This window comes from Homo sapiens, chromosome 2 (genome assembly GCF_000001405.40).
Source record: "Homo sapiens chromosome 2, GRCh38.p14 Primary Assembly".
NCBI lineage: Eukaryota > Metazoa > Chordata > Mammalia > Primates > Hominidae > Homo > Homo sapiens.
This window is the reverse complement of record NC_000002.12, coordinates 236,239,322-236,264,818: the sequence shown is the minus strand read 5'-3', so window position 1 is coordinate 236,264,818 and position 25,497 is coordinate 236,239,322. Positions and strand designations below refer to the sequence as shown.

Sequence of the window (25,497 nt, the reverse complement as noted above, 5' to 3'; positions counted from 1 at the left end):
TTCTATGCGTTTGAGGCATGTCCAATTTGCAGGTGACCAGACGCTCCTTTTAGAGGAAGTGAAGGAACACAAGGGGTAGAATATTAGAAAATGTTCCTTTCCACAGAATAGAGGTCCAAGCCCAGTGCCAGGAAGAGGTTTTCAAAGTTTCAGGAGAGAGCCTCACTTTTGATAAAAGAAGATATTATTCAACAATACCCATGAAAGCTGTCTTTGAAAATATTGTCTCTCCTTCTTGCACCACTCACAAACATGTCTGCTGCCCCCATCTCTAGAATAATCCTTTGCTGAGGCCTCTGGAAAGATTACTTCACACCTCCCTGCTGGCAGGTGGCCCTCCGCAGGGACTGTAAGAGGAGCCAGGGTGCTGCTATTTATAGCAGCCCCCACGCCACTCTCACGGACAGCTGCTGACTTTGGAGTCGCTTTAGAGGAAGAAAAGAAGGGCTGGTCACTGCAGAAACGACGTAACAATGTCCAACTCGGATTACCTTCCCGACTACCCACTCAACTCAGATTTAGTGAAGAGATTAAAGTCTGCCCTGGATGCCAAAGATGAGGAGAGAGTGAGGGATTTAATCTGCACTGAAATCACGCCTGTGGACGCTGTGATAGAACTGGCCAATGACGACTGGATGAAAGACCCCTCGGCTCAGCTGCCCACCGGCATGCTGCTAGGTAACCAGAACGAGCCTGCTGCATCTGGGATTTAATTACTAAGTTACACTGATGGGGTGGGCAGATCCTGGAGGTAGAGGGGCAAATGTTTGGAAAAAGTAAATGATATGTACTCGGATATCTGACTCTCATACATACATGCATATATGTGTACTGCATAGACCATGTACATGCGTGTGCGACATAAGCAACAAGTGCAACACAACACAAAAAAACTAATCCTACCACAGTGGCTGCTCTGTGGCTCCATTGTTTTCCAAGCCTGTCCATTTGCGTGTGTAAATTTCACCCACTGATAACCATATCATACACATAATTGTGTGTTCTGCTCCCTTGAGATCTACAAAATCTAAATCTAAAGCATTTTCCATGTTGCTACATAGTCTTCCCAATTTCAATCCCCTACTGAAATACTTAAACCAAATGCCTACAAAAAGATAGTATTTGGTTACCTTTTTGCTTCTATAAATAATGCTGTAACGAACATCTTTATTAGGATTCATACGGCTTTTTTCTTTTTTGGGATTATATCCTTACCATAAATTCCTAGGAGCCATATAACTGGAACAAGAACATAACATTTTTTCAAATTGTATTGTTTCTAAATTGGTTCCAAATTGTTTTCCGCAAGGGTTTCTGTTCCCTCTGACAGTGAGGTGATGTGTTTCACCACAACCTCACCAAGGAGCATCACTGGTAATGAATGTTTGTATTAAATTGCCATTTGATAAGCACACACTGGTAATTCTTCACTGCCTGTCGCCCATCCTTTCTTTGCAGGTCTGGACAAAGTCTTGTCCATAGGATTTTTTCTTTGTAGGCCTCATCAGGTGCAAGACCTGTCTATTTGGGTCTTGGGCAGGAACTCTCCATCTCTTGGAATCATTTTTATCATTTTGTAGGACTTCTTCACGTAACATAGACATCATCCCTTTGTTAGGTTTCCTGAAAGTGTTTTCCTGACCTGTGATTTACTTTTAGTTGTATTGTGCTGTTTCCCAGCTTGTCAGATTAGGGGACAAGGTTAGTCTTGGCCTCTAAGGGATGCTGAGGGCTCCTTTCCACCCCCATTCTCCCTCCCAACATAGGTGCACACACGCACACGCAAGTACATGCATCACATGCACACGTGTGCGCAACATGCAGGAGGAACACAGATGGGACATGAGTGGGAGTTGCTGCTAGGGAATGGAGCTTGCAGGGTGCTGAGGCGAGGAGTCTGAGATTGGAACTTCCGAGGGGGTCCGCCCCCCCCCCTTGGTTTGGGTCTACTTTCTGGGCTGCCTTTCAGTGGGGACTTAAGCAAGTCGCTTTAGGGAGGAACCTTCTCTTGCTTCCTCTTCACCTTGGTTTTCCTAATATCTGGCGGGGGTCCATAGGCCCAGGAGCCATGATCCCAAACTTGGTACCTTCCATCTCTCTAGAAGATTGCCCTGGGGGGGGTTTAGGGGAGGTTGTCATCACAAGCAGTGATTGGACTGGGAGTGCTGAGCTGTACATCTTGCATTCACCCTTTAGGCCCACCGTGCCCAAGCACCCCCCCGAGGCTGATCTCTGCAAACTGCATCAGTCCCACTTGCCCTCTGGCTCCTGTTGGGTGCCACTAATGATAGGAGTTGGAGGAAAGTGAGGGTAGGGCAAGTGCTTCCCCGGCCCTCCCTGCCAGATCGCTGCTGGGTTTAGCAGCCTCCTTCTGTGGAAGGCTTGGCTCCTGCCCAGCAGCTCCTGCCCCTCCTCCAGCCCTATCAGGTACAGGGTTAGGAATGGCCATCCGCTGTGGCTGCTGCCACCTGTAAGTGGTCTCCTGTAGCCCCTGTAACCCGGCCTGCCTTCAGCATGCCCTGAGCTCATGCCATCTGCTTTCTGTTGGGATCCTGACTACAGCAAGCGTCCTCTCAACAGCTCTTCCTTCATAAACCAGTCCCAGCCGGTTGAAGATTTGTGTATTGGGAATCCTGAACCTAAATATCCTTTCTTTTCACATTACTAATTGCCCTGCAAAATCTTTACTGTGTGTCTCATTTTACCAAACACTTGAAACTATGAAAATTGTTATAAGAAAGTTACATTCCTTCCACAGTTATAAATTACATACTGATATGGTTTGGCTGTGTCCCCACCCAAATCTCATCTTGAATTATAGCTCCCACAATTCCCACGTGTTGTGGGAGGGACCCAGTGGGAGATAATTGAATCATGGGGACAGTTTCCACCATACGATTATTGTGGTAGTGAATAAGTCTCACGAGATCTGATGGTTTTATAAGGGGCTTCCCCTTTCACTTGGCTCTCCTTATCTCTTGCCTGCCACCATGTAAAACGTGTCTTTGTTCTTCCCTCACCTTCTGCCATGATTGTGAGGCCTCCCCAGCCACGTGGAACTGTGAGTCCGTTAAACCTCATTGTCTTTATAAATTACTCAGTCTCTGGTATGTCTTTATCAGCAGGAAGAAAACAGACTGACACATACACATGTACTATTTCCTACCTAATGATTCAGCACTGCAGGGACAATTTGATACTAATGACATGTTTAAAGTGCTTGGGTCTGTTCCAGGTTGCTTCAATTCAGGACGATGGTATGCTAAATGATTAAACACATGATCCTAGGGCACGCGTTATCAGTGACTTTATCACAGAGAAAGCAGGCTGGACTTCAGGACAAGGGTGCAGGGAGCAACACGGTCAGACGTTCATTTGGGGTATGCCACTCTGGCTAACATGGGAAACTAGGATTTGAAGGAGGCAGAGAAAGGCTAGGAAGGAGATGAGTCTAGCTGGGAGTTCATTGAAGGCAGTTGCCCAGGTGAGAGATGGCAAGAGTCTAAGCCAATGCAAAGGAAGACACAAAGGCAAAGTAACAAAGATGAGAGGAAAGGGACCCAGGTTCTTGCCTAAGCTCTCCCATGACCTGTGTGACCTTGCACATGTCACACCACCTCTTTGAACCTTAATTTCCTCATTTTCAAAAAGGGGATTGGTGTGGATCATCTCTAAGCATCTTTACAAATAATTGGGGGGCTCAATGGGAAGGTTGTGGTGATGAATAGAGGATAGGGCCACCAGCTAAGATAGAAACAAGAGGGAACTGTGATTATGATGATTTATTGAACCTCTACTCCACTGAGCTGTGTAACCTCAGGAAACTCACTGTCTGTCTCGAGACCAACGTCTCCATTTATTAACGAGGGTATGAGATTAGATTAGTGCTTCCCACACAGAGACCCACAAGCTTCCTGAGAAGAGCTCCATGGTGGGATGAGCTTGGGAACTGCTTTCTGCTGGGGCCTCCCCTCAGAGACTGGCACGATGACATATCAAAGGCTTGGAGGAGTTTTACCACAAAGGGACTTAAGGATTGCAATTGCATTTGGCACGGTTTCTCATCTCAACCCAGAACCTCACTTTCATGTCTGCTGACAACCCGTAGAATTGGTGATTTGCAGATGCTCCTTGGGAACCACTGCTGGCTTGGTTCATCGTTTAGGTTCCCTCCTTCTCCATGCTTCTCTGAGGCCATAATCCCAAAGACTCACTGTCGCAGCCTAAAATGGGCATAGGTTCCTTTTTCCTGTGGGAGCAAATGTTCTCTTTCTCAAGGTAAGGGCGAGTTTGGGGGGACCATCCTTGATGGGAGAAAGAGCTGTTTGGATTCTAAGCTACATGTAGGGTCTTTACAATTTTTGAACAGTGGTCAAAACTTATGGCAATGACCTTGAAATGCAGCACATATTGGGAATGGACACTGTCAAACACCGAAATCCCTGAGAGGAGGAATGTGAAGAGGAAGGAATGATAACACAGGAAAACAGGGCTGGGCCAAGAGAGGGGGCAGAGCTGGTGATGCCCACCTGAGCCAGGAGAAGGCAAGAGTCGAGGGTCATGTTGGCAAAAGTACCTGGGGGAAAGAAGAGGGAAGAGGTTTCTATCCCAAGGACAAGCCCAGTAGACAGAACTCTGAGTTTTATTCTAAAGATGACAATGTGAAAAAATAAGAAAAAGAAAAGTAACCATTCGCTCTGCATGTTAACATGATCACTTGAGGACCTTGCCTCTTGCAGTGCAATCACCATGCTCATCGGCCTGTGAACTTACTACTCCCACCAAATAGAACAGAAAGAAACAGAATTTATTTTGATGCATCCATGTCAACATCACCAAAAAAAAGCATAGAGAAAAAGTGGCATCCAATGGTGGAAAGGGCTTTTTCTGGAGAAGTCCCTCAGGTGAACATGTGCCCCCACCTTGGTGCAGGCAGAAGTCAAAGGAACTGAAAATTTTAGCCCCAGCAGACATTGGGGGAAAGCACAGAACATACCCTGCTGAGGCAGGCATTAGGCAGGAGAATGGCCATCAGTCAGAATTCTCTTAAACAGGCAACTGGCCTGTGCCCTTGTGAAGGCACCTGCTCTCCTGCAAGGATGGACCTGAGATGCCCAACATCCTGCTGGGCTCACTGAGGCTGAGCCCCCCACGCTCTACAGTCAGCATCCCCATCCCAACAGGATCCTCCCAGCCAGGGCTGCACCTCCTCTGCTCACCTTTGCCATCTCATCCTTCCGACCCCATGCAGGGGAGGTCACGTCCACTGGAAGGCCATCCCTTCCCACTGGGACAGAAATCGTGCATCCTCCCTGCATGAAAGCATAAAGCCCTTAGTCTCCATCCATTACGGAAGTGCATGGCCTTGCTAGGCTGCTTTTTATATACCAACTGGATAATTCAAACCTGAATGCCACCTCTTCTAGGGCCAGAACCTCGCCTAACACTCGATTATATCCAGAGCCTAGCACAGGGTATTAACCCTGAGAGAAAGCTTGGACTCTGGGTGCAGTGATTGGCATGGAAGAGCTAAGCTCCTTTGCTCACCTTCAGCTGGGTGGGCACAGACTGCATTTCCACAGACACTATTGGGATTTGGGTTTCTGCAAAGAAATATTTAATTCTACTTTCTGCTAAAGCCAAGTCTCTACTGTTTAATATTAGCAACAACTGCATTATTTGTGCTTGCCTCTTTTCAATACCAATTGGTTAGTAGCTGCAGAGAACACAGAGAGGGAGAAAGGACGGCTGGGGGAGGGGCAGTGAGACCCATCTCGCCCCCCAAATGCATCAACTGTACAATTTGGTAACTGGTGTAATCAAACGACTTAAGAAACAACTGATTACTAATTGCTATTATTAAGGATGTCAGCATTCCATGATTTTGCTGCTGATATATTATATACAAGTCAAGATGCTACTTGAATTCTTGATTGAAATAGAAAAATAGAGGCATTATGTTGTGTTTGGGGTAATAGTATTTAAGCACCCAGAGGAAAGTTAAAGAAATACTAATTGAGTTTTTATTAAGAGATCTCACCAGCGTCATGTATAGGTGGGGAATGAGTGTGGGTAAACACACCACGGACATGTGCACACATGTGAAAATGGGGTCCATTTGCAGAATTAGACTTCTCATCTAAGGCTTGATGCAGGGCGAACCATGACACATGGGCCATATCCCCTGCTCCTTTAACTCAGACATCCTTCCTTATGCCTGGAGAATAACATCACTCAGGACAAACCAAACGGCTGACTCTAAATTAAATGAGCACAGCTCCCGCCTTAGAGGAATCATTTTCCAACACAGTGACAAGAGCGTACCCATTGATGATGGTGCCAAGATGTGGTGTAATGGGAAGGGCAAGGGACTGAGAGGAAGGGGACCCAGTTTCTTGCCTAAGCTCTCCCGTGACCTGTGTGACCTTGAACATGTCAGACCACCTCTTTGAACCTTAATTTCCTCATTTTCAAAAATGGATTGGTCTGGATCATCTCTAAGCATCTTTACCAATTGGACTAACTCAGGTTCTAAGACGAATGGCTTGTGTTTGTGGAGGGGATCAACAAAGCCTCCCGACCCACACTGCCTTCCCAGGAGTGGTGGATTCTAACAGGGGCCTGTGTGGGCCACACCCTGCCTTCGAAGGAAGGCCTCCAGTGGTGAGTTTCAGGTCAAGTAGGCAGCGAGGATACCAGCTGGAAGGTGCATAGGAAGCTGGTTTACGAACTCATATGCACAGATTAAGCAGCAGCTTGGCTCAAGGCTTAGGAAGAATAAGTCCCCAAATCAGGGTATGTTCAAACTGAAACTGGTCCTACACGGAGGCAAAGAAGGAGGAATTGGCAATGCCGCAAGTCCCTGCTGTTCCCTGGAGAACAGGTGAGAGCATCTCCAAGAGCTCTCCCCTTTCCACTCCTCCAGCTGAGGAAAATGAGGCTTGGAGAAGTTGCATGACACACCTTGGGTTCCACAGACAATTGGCACTGTAAACCCAGTGCCCTTTCCCGTGCTCCACGGCACCTGTAGTTCATCCCACAGCTGCGTTCTACAGACCGGAACACTGCTGCTCACCTGTGTTCACTTGCTGGTCAACAGCCAGTTAGGAGCAGAGCAGGAGCAGGTATGCTTCCTGACTTGTAGTCAGGGGCTCTTGCTGCCTACCCACCCAGAGACATTTTGCAGGAACGTCCCTGAAAAAACTTCCCAGTGAAGCTGTCTACAACCCTTTAATCTGACATGAAGCATACATATGCATATGTACACACGCACACACACAGTCATGCACACGTGCACACAATCTCAGTAGATAGAGTCCCTGGTTTCAAATCATTGAGCAAAAATAATCCCAAAAAATCATGGGCAAGTAAGTGGGGTGCTAGGCTGGAGAATAAAAACAGAAATGGGAAGCGAGAGGTCACCCACGGCAGGGCAGGCAGGAGGAGAAGCGCTCTGCTGTCTTGACTGCTCACTCCACCAGAGAGCGTGGGGGCAGGGAGACCCTGCTCGAAGCAAAATGAAATTAAACCTTTCTAAGTACTTATAAATCAGCACCTAATGACACTATCCCACCACCAGCCTGAGCATTGCTCTTATTACTTTGATTCACAAGCCAGGAAAAGATCCGGAATTATGCACAAATTATTGTCCCATCTTCTTAATTAACGCTGATTGCAAAATTCTTGCTAAAGTCCTTGCTAACAGACTCAATTATGCGCTGCCTGAATTGATTCACCCAGATCAAGTGGAATTTATTAGAAATACACTTTCCTACAATAACATCAGATTATCTTTGAATATAGTTGAATTATTTAGGAACAAAATGGCTGCTGCAGCAGCCCTCTCTTTAAATACAGAAAAATATCTCCCACCACCTAGAATTAAAATGTTTCTTTGCTTTCTACGAGACACACACCCTAGGCTCTTTTTTTTTCCCCAGAAGCAGGTTGAATGACACTGTGATGAGATGAGATGCATGCCTTAGAGCTAATGGTCCGGCTTCAAAGGCATATGGACAAGAAAAAAAATCCTACAGGGTCGCGTCTCAGCTCCCCCCAAGTATGAACTGTCACTGCCTGTGGAACACAGTGAAATTGCAATTAGACTAAATCAGGGTATTTTCAGAATCAAAATTGAGAAACGGGCTAATAAAGAAATAATGTATGCTGATGACATCCATCTATTAACATCATCCCCAAGCACACTGGAGAGTTTGGAAAGAACAAAAAGCAATGAGAATAATAGCGGAGAGGCTTTTCTACCTTTCTGAGATGACGACAGTTTCCTGCCACAAGTGCTCTGCTTGAGAAGTAAACATTCCGAAGGAACTAATTGGAAATGGCAGGCATGCTCTCTGTAGCCTGATTCTAGCTTCCCATCCAATGCCCCACTATCTTTTAATGCCAACCTCTGCACCTGGATATTGGACAGGGACTAGGTTTGTCTTATTTGCCACATCCTGCACATACTAGGTACCTAATAAATACTTATGGGCCGGGCATGGTGGTTCATGCCTGTAACCCCAGCACTTTGGGAGGCTAAGGTGGGCGAATCTCTTGAGCCCAGGAGTTTGAGACCAGCCTGAGCAACATGGCAAGACTCTATCTCTACAAAAAATACACCAATTAGCCTGGGCATGATGGCACACACCTATAGTCCCAGTTACTTGGGGGACTGAGGCAGGAGGACCACTTAAGCTGGAAGGTGCTGCAGTGAACCGTGATCATGCCACTGCACTCCAACCTGGCAACAGTGAGAGCCGGTCTCCAAAAAACAAATGAATACATAGAAATTAAAAATAAATAAATAAAAAATAAATATTAATGCACCAAATAGCACAGGGAGAACACTGTAGAAATCCTCTGACTTGACCCTCGAAACAGGAGCATGTTCCTGGGAGGCTGTGATCCAAAGGAAGGAAGCCCAGATAAAGGGAGGCGAGCAGGAAACGTAGTGCACCCAAGGCATGGCACGTGGGACAGGGAAGTGGGACACAACTTGGACTTGGGTGTGTAAATCAGAGAAGAGAGGAAGCCCCAGGCAAAGAGATTGGGACGATATTGTTTGAGGCTACACATTCTAGGCACAGGTGTTTACACTTACTTGGAAAAGCCATGAGGAGCCATTCAGCAAAGGAATGAGGTCATCTTAATTTGGAAAGAAAACACCTGACTCTTTTACTTAGGTAAAGCAGAAGATAGAGGAGAAAGGACAGGTGCCAGGAGAGGCCACCAGCTGCTAGCTATTCCCTCACAGCCACCCTCCTCTCCTGCTTTACCAGCAAAATCCCTGTGGCATGCAATGTGCCCACCTGAAAAAGAAATACATCTCCCCACTGTGTTAGTCCGTTCTCGCATTGTGATAAAGAAATACCAGGCCAGGCGCAGTGGCTCACACCTCTAATCCCAGCACTTTGATAGGCCGAGGGGGGCAGATCACCTGAGGTCAGGAGTTCAAGACCAGTCTGGCCAACATGGTGAAACCCCGTCTCTACAAAAAATATATAAATTAGCTGGGCGTCGTGGTGGGCGCCTGTAATTTCAGCTACTCAAGAGGCTGAGGCAGGAGAATCGCTTGAACCTGGGAGGAGGAGGTTGCAGTGAGCCAAGATCGCGCTACTGCACTCAGGCCTGGGCGACAGAATGAGACTCCGTCTCAAAGAAAGAAAAAAAAGAAAAAGAAAGAAATACCAGAGGTTTAATTGGCTCACGGTTCTGCAGGCTGTACAGGAAGCGTAGCGGCTTCGGCTTCTGGGGAGACTTCAGGAAGCTTTCAGTCGCGGCGGAACGCAAATGGGGAGCAGGCAGCTTACAGGGCAGGAGCAGGAGAAAGAGTGGGGTCGCGAGTGCTACACACTTTTAAACAACCAGATCTCACAAGAACTCACTATCTTGAGAACAGCACCAAGCGGATGGCAGGAAACCGTTCCTGGGAACTCCGCCCCCATGATCCCATCACCTCCCACCAGGCCCCACCACCCTCATTGGGAATGATAATTGGCATGAGATCTGGGCGGGGACACAAATCCAAACCCGATCACCCACTTCCCTTGAAGCTAGGGCTGGTCTTGTTCCCATCAACGATGGGCTTAACAGCAGATGGAAGAGGACAGAAGACAGAGCCGGCAAATTTGAAAACATCAATAGAAAAATATTTGATTTGAAGAAGAGAAAGTAAAATGATGGGAAATTAAATGAACAGGATCTGTGGGACAAAATAAAAGGTTTAACATACACAACTAAATGCAAGAAAGAGAAGAGAAGAATAATAACAGGGTGGAAAAATATGATTAAAGAAATAACTACCAAACGTTTCCCAAATTTAGTGGTAAAAAATGTAACTTTATAGATTCAAGAAGTTCAGCCAACCAGAAGAAGGGCAGAGTTGATAGAAGGGAGTCAGCTGTGTGGGCTCGCATGCCTGGGTGCTCAATTCCTGTTGTTGAGTCAGGTTTACTCTGAGAATAGAGAGCAGATTCCATGGGAGTGAAGGGGTGAAACGTGTGCAGAGAGAAGGGTGCAATCAGTTCGATATATGGAGATGCTCATGTAACACTTCTTCCCACAAAGCTGCCATGTTCTGTACTGCCTACAGCAAGCTGGCACACTATGTCCTGTGGGCTGGCTTCCTGTTTTTATGAATAAAGTTTTATTGGAACTCAGCCACCTCCTTCATTTACATATTCTTTATGGCTGCTTTCATGTGAGCGTGGCAGAATTGGGCAGTTGCCACAGAGACCATATGACCTGCAAAATGTAAAATATTTACTGTCTGGCACTTTATGGAAAAAGTTTGGTGACTCCTGTCACCAAAACACAGTTTAAATTTTATAACAGGCATCCAAAGGCCTAAAGATGTACCCTGAGCTAACTCTGGCATCCCTGCCATTCTCTCCCGGCATCCCTGCACCCACCCAGAGGCTGAACAGTCACAGGGGCTACTCTGAATGTGGTAGGAGGTGGGAGTCACTCTGGGAAGTGTTTGACCGAAATTGACAGTAAGTATTTAGACATGTTTACAGCAATTTTAACCTAACATCCATGTGTGTGATTTGCAGACTTGTAATTACCTGTCGTTTTTCGGTTTTATTTTTGCCGGTAACTAATTTCATTGTATTTTGAAAGAGAATCAGACCAGGTGAAGTAGCTCAGACCTGTAATCCCAGCACTTTGGGAGGCTGAGGTGGGAAGATCACTTGAGGCCAGGAGTTAGAGACCAGCCTGGGCAACACAGTGAGACCCCATCTCCCACCACAATAATAATAATAATAATAATAATAATAAGTTAACCAGCAAGTGGCTGTAGTCCCAGCGACTCAGGAGACTGAGGTGGAAGGATCGCTTGCGCCCAGGAGTTCAGGTTACAGTGAGCTATGACTGTGCCACTGTACTCTAGCCTAGGCAACAGAGTGAGACGCTGTCCTTAAAAAAATAAAAACAAAAATAAAGACTGAGCCCCTTGAATGAGAATCAAACTGCAACAAATTAGACTCAGAAAAGAAAATCCCTGGTCCCTCACCTCGGGTGCTTGAGAAACTCTGGTCCAAGCCACATCTCCACAACACCTCAGTCCGCAGTCCCTTCCTGGCGTTTGCACATCTGCCTCTTCTGCTGCTTCCTGTCCTCTTGTGTGCCAGGAACACACCCACCATCCTCCCAGTGGCTCGTGAGCTCAGGGGTCAGCGTTGGGTGCTGACTGGAGTTTGGCAGGAAACTTCCTAGGATCAACATCTAGAAAGCCAGGCTGGCGAGGACGGTGGGGATCCTTGACGCCACCTAACCATGCCTTGGCTGACCCCAGGGGCAGCTCTGGAACAGAGATGACCTGTCACAGTTTTCCCTGCATGGGGCCAAAATGGCAGGACAGCTCTAGCTGCACCTGGATCCATCACTGGATCTGGCCACGTTGGGAGGAGTGTTCTTAGGTGATGCAGCTCTGCAGCTGAGGCAAACCATGGAGGAGCTGACAGCTGGGGTGACAAGTCCTCCCTACAGCTGGGGCCTGGGTGGTTCATCTCTGTGTCCACCAAAGGATCTAGGCCCCTCCTCTCCTCTCAGCCCTGAATCACAGGTCTGCTGTCTGTGGCGGCTTCATTTCCTGCTCAGGTGCCCCTCTGCCTGACCCCTCCACATCATCAAAGGGCTGGCTGCCTTCCTGACTGCACCTGTGTCCCATGCGCCATAGCATGGTGGCTAGTGACACCTGCCTCTTGCTCAGGCCAGAACATAGGGTATAGCTCCCCGCAACAATAGATCAAGAGGAGAAAACAGACATCCTGGGGAGGAAATGCACCTTCCGTGTCCTACACCTCCCTGTCACTTTGCTCAGATGCCATATTAGGGGGAAGCTGGCCCTATCCCTACCCCATCACTCTGATTCCTTATTTGAGGCATCCCCATCTTAACACCTGTACCTCCATATAGCAGTGATCTGATTCCACCGCTAGTTGATGGTGGCCACGTCTGCCCTCCCACTCAATTCAACACTCCTTAAAGGCAAGGATTTCTACTGTGTGTGTGTGTGTGTGTGTGTGTGTGTGTGTGTGTGTGTGACGGAGTCTCACTCTGTTGCCAAGGCTGGAGTACAGTGGCGCAATCTTGGCTCACTGCAACCTCTGCCTCCTGGGTTCAAGCAATTCTCCTGTCTCAGCCTCCTGAATAGCTGGGACTGCAGCCGCACACCACCACCCTCAGCTGATTTTTGTACTTTTAGTAGAGACGGGGTTTTACCCTGTTGGTCAGCCTGGTCTGGAACTCCTGACCTCAGGTGATTCACCTGCCTCAGCCTCCCAAAGTGCTGGGATTACAGGCATGAGCCACCATGCCCGGCCAGATTTCTACTATTTATTTCTGTAAGCTTCTTGTACCTGAAAAATGCTCTGTACATGTAAACTCAGTATAGAACATTTCCAAACTGAACAGCAATTTACCCTCCCACCTGCAAACTGGGAGAGGATTAGTGTCACTGAACTCTTCAAAAACTTGACTTTTAAAAAATCTTTCACAATAGGCAAAAAGATCTCTTGTCATTTTTCACTTGTATTTTAGGTTAGTAAAATTGAACGTGATTAGCAGTCCAGTGTTTCAGCAGTCACTTACAGTTCTTATCATTTTTTTTCCTGTTTTTCCGTTGGAAGTTTAAAGTTCTAATTCTGGAATTTAACTCCATCAGACAAAACTGGCCTCACTTTGCTGGATGCAGTGTTGACCAAATTGTCTCCTAGACCACCCTTCTCAACTTCAGGATAGGTAAACTTCTCGTTTCTAGAAGGGATATAAAGGATCACAGGGCAGAACAATCAAAGCAAACCAACTTCAAGAGAGAAGTATTTTGCTCCCTGTGTGAGATTCATAAAAAACAATCAGTCTGAACACGCAATTTGTCTCAAGAGGCAGGAGCTGCAATTTTATCATGTAATTAAATCCCCACGCCAGTTGTAAAGAAACTTCGTCACCTTTATCAGGGAGAGCTTCAATGATACGCTTTCCAGCAACGTCCCCAGAGTCTATAAATGTCCTTCCAGGGCTATTTACTCGTGGTTGTGCACGCTGAGGATTGGGCCGCTGTGTTTTGCACTCATCCACAGCGGATACACGGTGTTCAAGGGCATCTTTGTTTCTGAGCTTCCAAAAAAGCCCTCCTGGGCTGCCAATGAAAGCGGCACTTGACCTTTGGATAAGATCACATTAATAATGAGAAGTGACTGTTGTTCTGCATTATCTGCACTGGGCTTGGTAGCAGTGACGGGAAAATAAGTTAGTGAGGTGGTTTCCTCCCTTATTGTGTTCCTCCACATGATGGAAATGAGATTTCTTAATAATGTGAAATCAGCACAGACAATTTAAGTCATTATTAATAGATGCACTTGATCTGAGGAAGTAAAATGTTTTAATGTTTTGTTAAATGAGGTGTGCTGTGCTAACATTGTTATTCAGAGAGGAGGTTGAGATACTTTAACATTTTTGATATTAATGTCTATGTGACTAACTCTGGTGGATGGATGTGTCCTGGAACTCTTAAAAGCAGAACTTTATATACCTGCCCAGCTTCTTACTTTTAAAATATATTTTTTTAATTCTGCAGGAAGTGGGGTGAAGGAAAGGTGGCTTTAGACATTAAAACAGGAAGAATAAAGACCAGAAGAGGGTGTGAAAGTAACTCCACTGGAAGGCCTGGGGCTGCTGCACCAGTTGGTAGTGATGTTATTATCCTAGAGTCCAGTCAGACTTAGTACATGGCCATTTACAGAAACCCTCCAGGTAAAAAAAGGGGTGAAGGAAATTGACCAGGTCAACAACGTGCGCTGGCATATTTAAGAAAGAATGCACGGAATTTCACAATGTCCACAAGAGTAATGACTTCCTGCCCCTGTCTGTCCACTTGGACACTTCCAGAAGGAAGCCAGACATTTGCCAATGACCTAGGAAAGAATCTGAACATTTGCCATTCCCCAAGAACAAGAGAAAATGGCAGGGTGTCCTGCAGCCTCAAAAATTCTACCTCTTGGCTTGAAGGCATGGAAAGTTGTGGCCATGGAGAATAAGCCTGGCCCTGCCACAAAGCCCACCAGCTCCAGGTTTCAGCCTCAGCTGGATTAATCCTTGGAGGCTTCTGGGGAAAAGAAAATCACTAGTCAACTCAATGGCAAGAAGAAAAGATCCCAATGTCACATGAAAATAATAGTTACCATTCAAACACTACCATGTGGATACCCCATTATAATTTCAAGGTGGATTTTACCCTTTTCATCTCATTTGATCCAGAGGCAAAAACTCCTTCTCATTAGCTACCTACACTATAGGACTCAATTATAAAGAACTCATGTTTGTGTCTCCACTATAGGACTCAATTATAAAGAACTCATGTTTGTGTCTCCTGCAGACAAAACATCATGCTTATTATTTAAGTCTCCAAAATATTCTTTGCAAAAGTATATTTTAATCCAGTTGACTACCTGGCTAGTATTAGAGAAATTCAGTCTATTCACTCAGTTAGCCAGACACAAGCCGGGCCTCCTCTCCTGCTTGGATTCTTGCCTTCCTTTTCCTAAATTCACTTCATGGTCTGCAGCAAAAGACCACAGAAATTACATTTGTTTAGTATTCTGCCACGGTCCACCCACACAAATAAGCTTCCTCTGTCAAATAAGTACACCATTTGAAAAACTAAAAATACTAAATGTACTGGCTTGGAGAAAATTATATTCATCAGAATCCCTCTCTTTCAAGAAGGGCATTGTATTTGTTCAGAAGCATTTCCTTGACCAACACCCTGGAATAGACGTTGAAACCCCATGGGCCCTAGCAGTGCACAGAACAACACTGAAGAAAAAAGGGGGAGGATTTCCATGGCTGTACCAGAGAGAATGGAAACAGAAATGGAAGTGAAGAGTGGAATAAGGCTGTGCAAACTGTGACAGACCCCTTCACATCCTCAGTGTGATTGCCAGATACACTAAGTGATGCTGTTAGTGGGCTAGCTTGAAAACAAACCAACCAACCAAGAAAAATCAAAGAAGCCAATTGTGGCCGCCATTGTGGGAGGAGAGCAGAAGGTACACAATGCAAGCAAACATAGAGATCAAGGACAACACCAGGAAGCAAAGCACAGGGGCTCTCTGGAGTTCTCAGAGGGACTCTCAGTTCTACAAAGCCAAGAGTCCCAATGAGAAAGGGAACTTAAATGGACATCTGTCTGACACGAGTTACTCTTACTGTACAGACATGCTTTGAATGTTTTCAAATAATTTGCTGCATTTATGCCATCTAAATTTGGGTATAAATATCAATGCATCAAAACAACCAACAACCTCTTAACTTAAAAACAAGAGAAAGAAACTTCTAGTGCCCCAAACGGGGAACCCATAGTAGTGAATAGCTGTTTCAGTCATTCGATTCACAAGGACAACAGATTCCTATGGGTCTGCAGTTTGAATGCTGCCTGGTGGCATTGATTGAATCGGCCTGTTGCTCTGACCTGTGGAGACCTTTTGGAATCTTGGCTGTGTCATGCTCCATGCCACGCATCTGATAGCTACCCTTCCACAAATTCATTCAAATCACGATATGTATCACACAAAATGGGGTAAGTCCAGGGATAAAAGGCATTCCACACCACATTGCAAGGGTCACGGATTCCATGGTTGCCTTTCACAGCAATGGTTCTCAACCTTGGCTGCATGTTAGAAGTACCTGGGGACTCTTTTTTCTTTCTTTTTTTTTTTTTTGAGACGGAGTCTTGCTCTGTTGCCCAGGCTGGAGAGCAGTGGCATTATCTCAACTCACCACAACCTCTGCCTCCCAGGTTCAAGCAATTCTCCTGCCTCAGCCTCCCAAGAAGCTGGGACTACAGGCGTGCGCCACCTTGCCCAGCTAATTTTTGTATTTTTAGTAGAGACAGGGTTTCACTATGTTGGCCAGGCTGATCTCAAACTCCTGACCTCGGGTGATCCACCTGCCTCAGCCTCCTAAAGTGCTGGGATTACAGGCATGAGCCACCACATCCAGCCACCTGGGGACTTTTTAACAGTCCTGTTGCCCAGGCTGCACCTCCAACCCATTATGCCTGAAACTACCAGGTGGGCTCCAGGCATCGTGTTTTTTAAAGTTCCTCAGGTGATTCATTTTTGTAGCCAACGTTTGAACCACTGCTGTTGGGGCATCACGTGTATTATTTCTCCAGTTCACATTATTTAGCCAGAGTTTCCTAAAGAAAGACTCGCACTGTTTCCATCTTTTCCAAGAGGCTGTCATGAAACTGGCATTGCATGTTGCTGCCTACACCCCGTCTGCATATTTATGATAACCCTGTCACAAAAGAAAATTCTAGTCCACCCTGACGTGTTCCTAGTGACTTGTGGAGCTCCAGGTGACTCCACTCTGTTTTCTAAATACTCCCAAACAATCTTTTTCACAATCCATGTAGGGATCTTGCCCAGGTCTAATGTCAAGATCACGAGTCTGTCCGAAGTCTCTTTCCATTTGAAAACTAAACCTCTAGTCTTCTGGTCCTTCTTTTGTTTTATCACAATTCCTCAAAGACTTTGACAATTGTTCAGCAACTTCATACACAAATTCACTCTTGAAAGAAGTTGCATTGGATACGTACTAAAGTTGGCAGAGAAGATAAAACCTGAATTGTATCTTGAGGCTATGTATTGGCTTTGACTAAGCTGAGAAGGGTGAGGACCAAGAAAATAATGAGATTAAAATGACTTGACCCAAGCAAGCTATAGATAAATGTGAAGGCAGCAGGCAACAAAGAGCACAGTCAAGAGCACTGGGTCAGAAAACAGTGTTATTCATGTAACTACAGGGCATCATTCAGCTGCTGGGAAAGAAACCTAAAGAACTTCTGTCTTCTGGAGTCCTCCGCTCCTTGCTTTCTCCTGTTTGATCCTTGCAGGCAGGGGTATTGTTAGGTTTTTTGCCTCCAAACCCTCAAACCTTAAGATTCACCCTAAAACATAATAAAGATTACATAAATGCTTATTGAATGAATGAATGAATGAATGAGTTGGTTTTCAGGTTTGTTTGTTTTAATGTAATCATCAACATGTGGCTATTCTTGTTCTTTAAAAAAAAAAAAAAGACAGCTCTCTGCCATGCTTATGAAATAATCTGCATGTCTTATGAACTAATGCTATCTACCATGAGCTATTTTTAACGCTGTCACCAAAAAAAAAAAAAAAAAAGAGTCTGTTTCTTGACTACTACACCTTGCCTACTGAAATCAAACTTGGATACTTAGGAAGCTGTTGACAAATAATACTGGAAAGCTAAATTTAGTGTCTGGTGCAGTGTGGAATGGCTTTTATCCCTGGACTTACCTCTAGTGTCCTATCCCTTTTAAAAATAACCAACGACAAGCTATATCAGGCATCAGGAAATTCGTTAAAGTGAAACACAGTTGGATCAGATTATAGCTGTGCATGAGTAAGTCCTGCAGAAATTTATCCAATCACAAACAATTAGTCTGAGAAAAAATAAAATGGCAAAATGGCTATGCTTAGAGAAAGGAAAGACCCAAAGAGCTTCATATTGGTGGGAAAATGAATAGTGCAACTACAGAATACATAAATGAAGGGGGAAGGAGATGAGACTGAAGCCCATCATGTTGTTCTGGTGGACATTTGAGAAGGGAAGTGGTCTCCACTGTGTTACTATTGGTCATTTTATGCATGCAAATGCATTTGATCTCCAACGAAGGCTCTAAGTTCCTTACAAACATGGTCTATTTCTTCTTTACTGATGCATTTTCCAATGCACCAGCAGGGTCCTAGGCACACAGTGGGCTCTTTGAAAAAAAAAATCTCTGCTGTTCCAATTGATGACATTGATGCTGCTTTTGCTACTGATGATGTGGATAAGGGAGATGAACTTTAAAAACATGTGAAACAAAGTTTTAAAGAGTTCTCAGGGGGCATACAGTAGCCAAGGTCTTTTTTTTTTTTTTTTTTTTTTTTTTTTTTTTGAGATGGAGTCTTGCTCTGTCACCCAAGCTGCAGTGCAGTGGCATGATCTCAGCCCACTGCCTCCCAGGTTCAAGCAGCAATTCTTCTGCCTCAGCCTCCCCAGAAGCTGGGATTACAGGCATGTGCCACCACACCAGGCTAATTTTTATATTTTTAGTAGAGATGGGGTTTCACCATGTTGGCCAAGCTGGTCTTGAACTCCTGACCTCAAGTGATCCACCCACCTAGGCCTCCCAAAGTGCTGGGATCATAGGCATGAGCTACTGTGCCAGGCCAGGTCTTCTTACAAAACCTGGTAAGGATCTCTACATGTGGGGGAAGGTGGGCTGTGCAGTAAAGCCCACAGATCTGAGGTAGGTCCCCACGCTGAGCACCTGAGACCTGCCCTAGGCCAGCCGAGCGTCCACGTTATGGTGTTCTTCCCTAAGGGTGAAAGGCAACAGATGGCCAAGAATAAGAGCAAGAACCACTGAGGAGCTTTAATGTTGAGCAAGTTTCAAAGAGTCCAGTCCATTCGTTCTCTTCACTGTTGGCATTGAAGACCTTCTCTGTGTGGAACACCATGCGGGGCATGAAGAACTTCCCAGAGAGGAAGCAGCAGCCCCCACCGTCCTCCAAAAAAGCTCATGGTGAAGTGGGACACAGACAAGGAACCAGCAGTAATAGTAGAGCGCCCAGTGCCACAGTCAGAGTGCAAGGACAGACATCAGGACTGGTCTTGGAGGTCAAGGGAGGCTAAGCTGTGTTGGAGGATGAGCGAGGCTGGCCAGGCAAGGAGGGAAAATAAGGACTGCAGGCAGAAGGAACAGCCTGCACAGACACCTGGAGAGACGAAGGCACTATCTGGGGACTGCAGACCCCTATACTAAGGTGTGGCATGCTCCAGGGACAACGGTGAGGGCAAGGTAGGAAGCCCTTTTACTCACGGGAAGGTGCTTGGGCACTGGCTATGTCAGGATTCAGAAATCTTGAGAAAGGTAACTGAATCTGTGAGTCCCAGTTTCCTCACCTGCAAATGACATCAAGGGTATCAACCTGCAGGGATACACCTGACACAGAGTCACTAGCAGTGGGTGTCCAGGGAGCAGCAGCCCCCAAGGGCAGCTAGCCCTGACCCCACAAGAGCTAAGCCCAATGGGCCCTTCTGCAGCCCCAGAGCTGAGCCTTTGCCCAGAGGTCAGATAAACATGGTAAAAAATAAACCTACGGCCCCCGTGGCAACCAATTTGGGTCATGGCCAAGTCTCCCCCCACACCCAGCTGAGGTTGACTCTCACCCATGTGAGCCCCTCAGCTTTCACAGCACAGCCTCTGTCCCTTATCCCCCTGCATCATAGACTGCCAAACGTGGCCTCATCCCTCCCCACCCAGCACCACTGCAGCCCTCCTCTGTAGAAGAGAGGTGGGTTTTATCATTTGGGTGAACCTCCAGGCCTTGGGTCAGTCTGTGCACATAAACTCATGCCTGTAACAGGGGTCAGAACAAGGGTTCTACAACAAGGGTCAAAACACATCTATATCAAACCATAAATGTGTTCGATTTCTACTCCACCCTTTGCTGCAATCTCTTGTAAGGAAAATCAAAGGTCTCCCTTTGCTGAGCACTCCTTAGTTATAGAAGATCTTGGTGAAAGGGGCAACCCAAAAGCCAGGTTACTCTTCCAAATAAAGAGCCCACACAGAAAGCCTGCTCTGGTTGGGCACTCAGAGGTCGGGGGGCACTTGACGAGGGGTAGGGGGAGTCACAAGGCAGCCTTTGTGTGCAGAGAAGACTGAGAGAGAAGAAACTGGCATAAAAGGAGGCTTAGGAAGCTCGACTGTGACCAAGGATGCACAGCCCAGTGAGCTCTATTCCTTGATTTCACATCTGTTTTCCTGTTGATTCTCTGCTGTTGCTTCCTGGTTGCAACACCATGTGGGGATGGGATCCCATGGGTCCCCAGGTCTAACACTGGCTGTGAGCAAATGGGGGCTTATGCTATGCCCGCCTCCCTGGGCGAGGGTCTGCTTAGCCCTCCTGGGCCCATACTGCACTGCTCTTCTCTCTGCTCATCCAGGCAAAGCCCTCCTGACCCTTTCACCTCCCTCCAGCCTCTGCTCATATAGTTTGTATCGTAACTCATGTGCACAGGCCAAAGAATTCTGTAGCTCACCATCATTGGCCCATTCCAACTTCCTGGTGGGGAAAAACAAGAATGGTTGAAAGAAAGAAAGAAAAACAGGCCGGGCACGGTGGCTCACACCTGTAATCCCAGCACTTGGGAGGCCGAAGTGGGCAGATCACCTGAGGTCAGGAGTTTGAGACCAGCCTAGCCAACAAGGTGAAACCCTGTCTCTACTAAAAATTAAAAAATTAGCTGGGTTTGGTCGCAAGAACCTGTAATCCTAGCTACTCAGGAGGCTGAGGCAAGAGAATCGCTGGAGCCCTGGAGGCAGAGGTTGCAGTGAGCAGAGATCACATCACCGTACTCCAGCCTGGGTGACAGAGCAAGACTCTATCTCAAAAAAAAGGAAGGAATTGCATATTATTTATGTTACAAGAAAAAAATGAGCTTATTTAATTTTTTGACAATAAAATAAAGCCCTGAACCAAACCAAACCTTAGTAAATAACTCATAAGTTACTAATAAAGAACTGTTATCATTCATTTGAAAAAAAAAATGTGGCATTACTCATCTTCAGCAAGGGATGCACATTTAGGGATCAGTTCTCTGTCCCTGGAAGAAACTCACAGGTACCAGGGCCCCAGATCATGTCTTTGGGAACCCCGCATCTGTCCTATGGAGCCTCCTAACACCCAGGGACACTTATCTGGAACCTGGTCATTTTCAGTGTCCAGTGGGGCCTCCTTCACACATCCTCAGGGTGGCCACAACCCTTGGAACACACATCTGCTCATCACTGGTCATGGCAACAGAGAACATGGATGGGAAAAAAAGCTAAAAGACACTCTTCAAACCGAGAAAGACAAGCTTCACTTATTTCAGGTAGTAATTACTCTTTTTTTTTTTTTTTTTGAGATGGAGTCTCGCTCTGTTGCCCAGGCTGGAGTGCAGTGGCACGATCTCGGCTCACTGCAAGCTCCGTCTCCTGGGTTCACGCCATTCTCTCACCTAAGCCTCCTGAGTAGCTGGGACTACAGGCGCCCACCACCACACCCAGCTAATTTTTTGTATTTTTAGTAGAGACGGGGTTTCACTGTGTCAGCCAGGATGATCTCGATCTCCTGACCTCGTGATCCACCCGCCTCGGCCTCCCAAAGTGCTGGGATTACAGGCGTGAGCCACTGCGCCCAGCCCTTTTTTTTTTTTTTTTTTTTTTTTTTTGAGACAGGGTCTCACTCCACTGCCCAGGCTGGAGTACAGTGGCACAATCATGGCTCCTTATAGTCTTGACCTCCCAAGCTCTAGTGATCCTCCCCACCTTAGCCTCCCAAATAGCTGGGACCACAGGTGCATATCACCATGCCCAGCTAATTTTTTTTTTTTTGTAGAGATGGGGGGACCCTTGCTATCTTGCCTGGTCTCAAACTCCTGGACTCAACAAATCCTCCCACCTCGACCTCCCAAAGTGCTGGGATTGGCCAGACACAGTGGCTCATGTCTGCAATCCCAGCACTTTGGGAGACCGAGGTGGGCGGATCACTTGAGATCAAGAGTTTGAGACCAGCCTGGCCAACAAGGTGAAAGCCCATCTCTACGAAAAATAATTTAAAAAAAAATTAGCAGGGCGTGGTGATATGCACATGCCTGTAATCTCAGCTACACAGGAGGCTGAAGTAGGAGAATCACTTGAACCCAGGAGGTGGAGGGTGCAGTGAGTATCATGAAATATTATTCTTCTTTTGATTTTTCCCAACTATTTATAAATGTACAAACAATTCATAGCACCCAAACCATACAAGAGCTGGGAGTGGAGATCGCCAACTAGTGACAGCAGACAGACCCTTTCAGCCCTATCACCCTGAGAGTAGGTCCTGCTACCTGGCACCGCCTTCGCTTGGAGAAAGACTAAATCCTGGGCAGCCAAGAGGCCTCTCTGGAAAGTGGCTCCTGACAGTGCTGGCCCAGTTCTGAGTAGGTCCTACCTGATGCAACTGGAAGCCAGCAGAGTGGCGTGGGGGACAGAGGATGGACTCTTGAGACAGACGCACATGGGTTCCAATCATAGCACAGCTGCTAACTAGCCAGGCGGCCGTGGCCATGCTATTTCCTTCATGTGGTTGTTATTGGGAGTAAAGAAATAAATATGGTAATACTTAAAAAGCAACTGGTGTACATCGGGTGCTTCATAAATACTTGTTTCTTTCCTCTGAGCATAAGACTTTTATTTCCAGATTCCAAATATAGTACTTTAAAAAAAAATCTGAGAGGATATTACTTATTTGCTAAGTATTCTGGTCACCAAAGTCATTTTTGTAAGTGAGTCACTTACTCCACATAAACAGGTAAATGCAATGCTATTTAAGACTGGGGAATCATCTGCCCAACAGCAGGATAAATGAGTCCATCACAATTAAATGTGTGCTGGGAGTCTGCCCTCGGTGCATGGAGAGCTGCTTTGGAGCTATCCAGATGTGTCTGTCTCCAGAGTTAGCATCTGTATCATCACAAAGAGGGTGGCTGAGTACTGCGGCATCCCAGTGCTCACATGCCCCTGGTCATATCAAGTAACCATTATCACATCGGAGCCCACAGGAGTTATAAATATACCACCATCGAGCCCCAACTGGATGACAATTGAGTAATGACAATAGAAATAGCTCACACTCCATAAGACCATCTTTCCCGTTCCTGAAGAACTCTTCTGAAATCGACGGCATCTCAATGGAGAGACAGCCAGGGCCAGTGAGAGGAAAACTTCAAATATTTCAAAAGACAGAGAAGGATCCTCAAGCTAGAGCAGGGTCCCCGGTGCAGGAGTACCACACTGCCCTGGTCGCAGGGGACCTCGACCATCTGAAGCCCCTCATGGACCAGTTCTTCCAGGATGCCAACGTGGTGTTTGAGATCAATAAGGATGAGATGGAATGGCAGGTGAAATCTCCAGCCACGTTTGGACTATCAGGTACCCTTGTTCTTTAAAGCTCAGTCATTTATTTTTAAGGGGCTACTAATACTCTCTGGGAGTGTAAGGCTCCCGTGTGTAGACTGGGCACAGTGGCACTGGGTTTAACGTACACAAGAAAAGGACATCTGATGAAGTTTGCTCGCAGTAAAGTGTAGGTTTTAGGTGATGGCCTATAAGAGATCCAGTTGGAAAGGCAAAGCAGCGATTGGTGGGAATGCCTATCCGATGACGCTGGGTGTGCCTCTTGTCTTTACAAAGGAGCATTGGTTTAGGTGTGGAGCTGCCCGTGCCTGCATCTGGCAGCCAGGGAGGTGGGTGCTGAAGAAGGAAAGTCTCTCCTTCAGTTGCGCCCGGAGCAGCCTCTGGCACACAGCTCTGTGTGAGGTCCTTTATGAATCTGCAAATGCCACAGCTACAGCAGGGGCACAGCCAGCATCAGTAGAGGCAGGACCCCAGGACTCTCTGTAGATCCTCCTCCTGGAATCTGGGGAATCCCAAGAATGGGGAAGGAAAAAGGAAGAAACCAGAGGTCCTGACTTCATACGTGTCTGCAGGTGCTCTTGCTGCCTGAACATGGTCACTGTGCGCTGGGCGGACAAGCAGACCTCCCAAGTGGAAAGAGGTCCCCTCCTCCCCCTGCCCACTCAAGATGTGCAGACACTTGCTGACCACCATGCTGCATCTGGGGCTTTCTCGGATGGCACCCTGCTTTGGGCACCCCACCCGCCACCAGCTCAGATGCAACATATTTACCAAGAAGTTTCACATGCGTTGGAATCTACAGCAGCTCTGCCAGACCATGGGATTTGAGAATCTGAGGTCAGTGGCCGGCGGCCAGTGTCCCATGTCCCTGACTCTTAAGCTCTGGCAGGCAAAGAATGCGGAAGGTTGGCTTCCAAAGAACTGACACAGTTCTGTTTATACCTCACACGGGGAGAAGAGAATAAACTCAAAACACTGTCAGAGGGCCGAGCAGCTCCTGCCAACCAGTGAGGCGGTGGGGGCTGCAGGAAAGGCAAATGGCAGTTCCTGTTGGGGCTGCATGTCGCAGCCGACCCCTTCTGGGCCTCCTCTCCCTCACCTATCCCAGACCAAAAATACCAACGGCAGCCCTGGACATACACACACACAAATGTCACAATTTCAAATAGATAGTCATGTTCACCCATCATTTGCACATTCTGTATCCAAAATCAGTTTCCTCCTTCCCTCCCGAATCTTCCCACCCCTAAGTTCTGCTGCTGTCCTGTGGTACACCTGGACGACAGGATACTGGAGCACGCCCACAGCAAAGGGATGTGGGCTGGTACTGAGGAAACGGCAGCCCGGACAGTGAGTAGTGGCCCAAGGCCTCCACACAGGCTGGGAAGAGAGGGAGGCAAGCTCAGGCTGCCTGGATTCCAGCCTCCTCCGGCACAGACACCTGACTGCCCTGCAGCAGATCCAGCAGCAGAAACGACCAGACCCTGTTTGAAAGCAGTGGCCCCATGTGCTCTCCCATGAAAAGACTTCCCGGTGGCCAATTCCAGCTCCCCTGGTGGGGAAGGGATTGATCTGAGTACAGGGAGCAGGTCCCCAGTGGCCACCACCTCGGTGCCCCTCCGTGATAGAATGCTGGCCCATCCAGCCCACAGTCATAGAGAGCACTGACATGGGGGAGCTGATGCTTAGAGGGACACACCACATGCAGAGAAGCCTTAATTCATGTCCCTCCTGGTGGCAGAACTGGGACCAGAGGGCGGGAGTTACAGAAAGCTGATTCCGGCTTCCTGAGCCTTAATTCACGTCCCTCCTGGTGGCAGAACTGGGACCAGAGGGCGGGAGTTACAGAAAGCTGATTCAGACTTCCTGACTGCATCGCCAAGGACCTGGAGACGGTGCTGGCCCACACTGTGGCTGAGCTAGATCCCCACCTATGGCTTCTCCCCATCAGTCCCTGAGAAGACTCAGGAATC

At 47.0% G+C, this 25,497-nt stretch overlaps 1 protein-coding gene across 1 annotated transcript in view; it reads left to right on the top strand.

Moving 5' to 3' along the window:
* The window catches only part of ASB18 (ankyrin repeat and SOCS box containing 18), a 70,948-nt gene continuing 45,863 nt past the window's right edge, over positions 413-25,497 (top strand). Inside the window, exons 1-2 of the mRNA NM_212556.4 lie at positions 413-678; positions 23,417-23,539. Coding sequence (NP_997721.2) covers positions 474-678; positions 23,417-23,539 — 328 coding nt within the window. The 5' untranslated portion in view covers positions 413-473. The remainder of the gene's footprint in view (positions 679-23,416; positions 23,540-25,497) is intronic.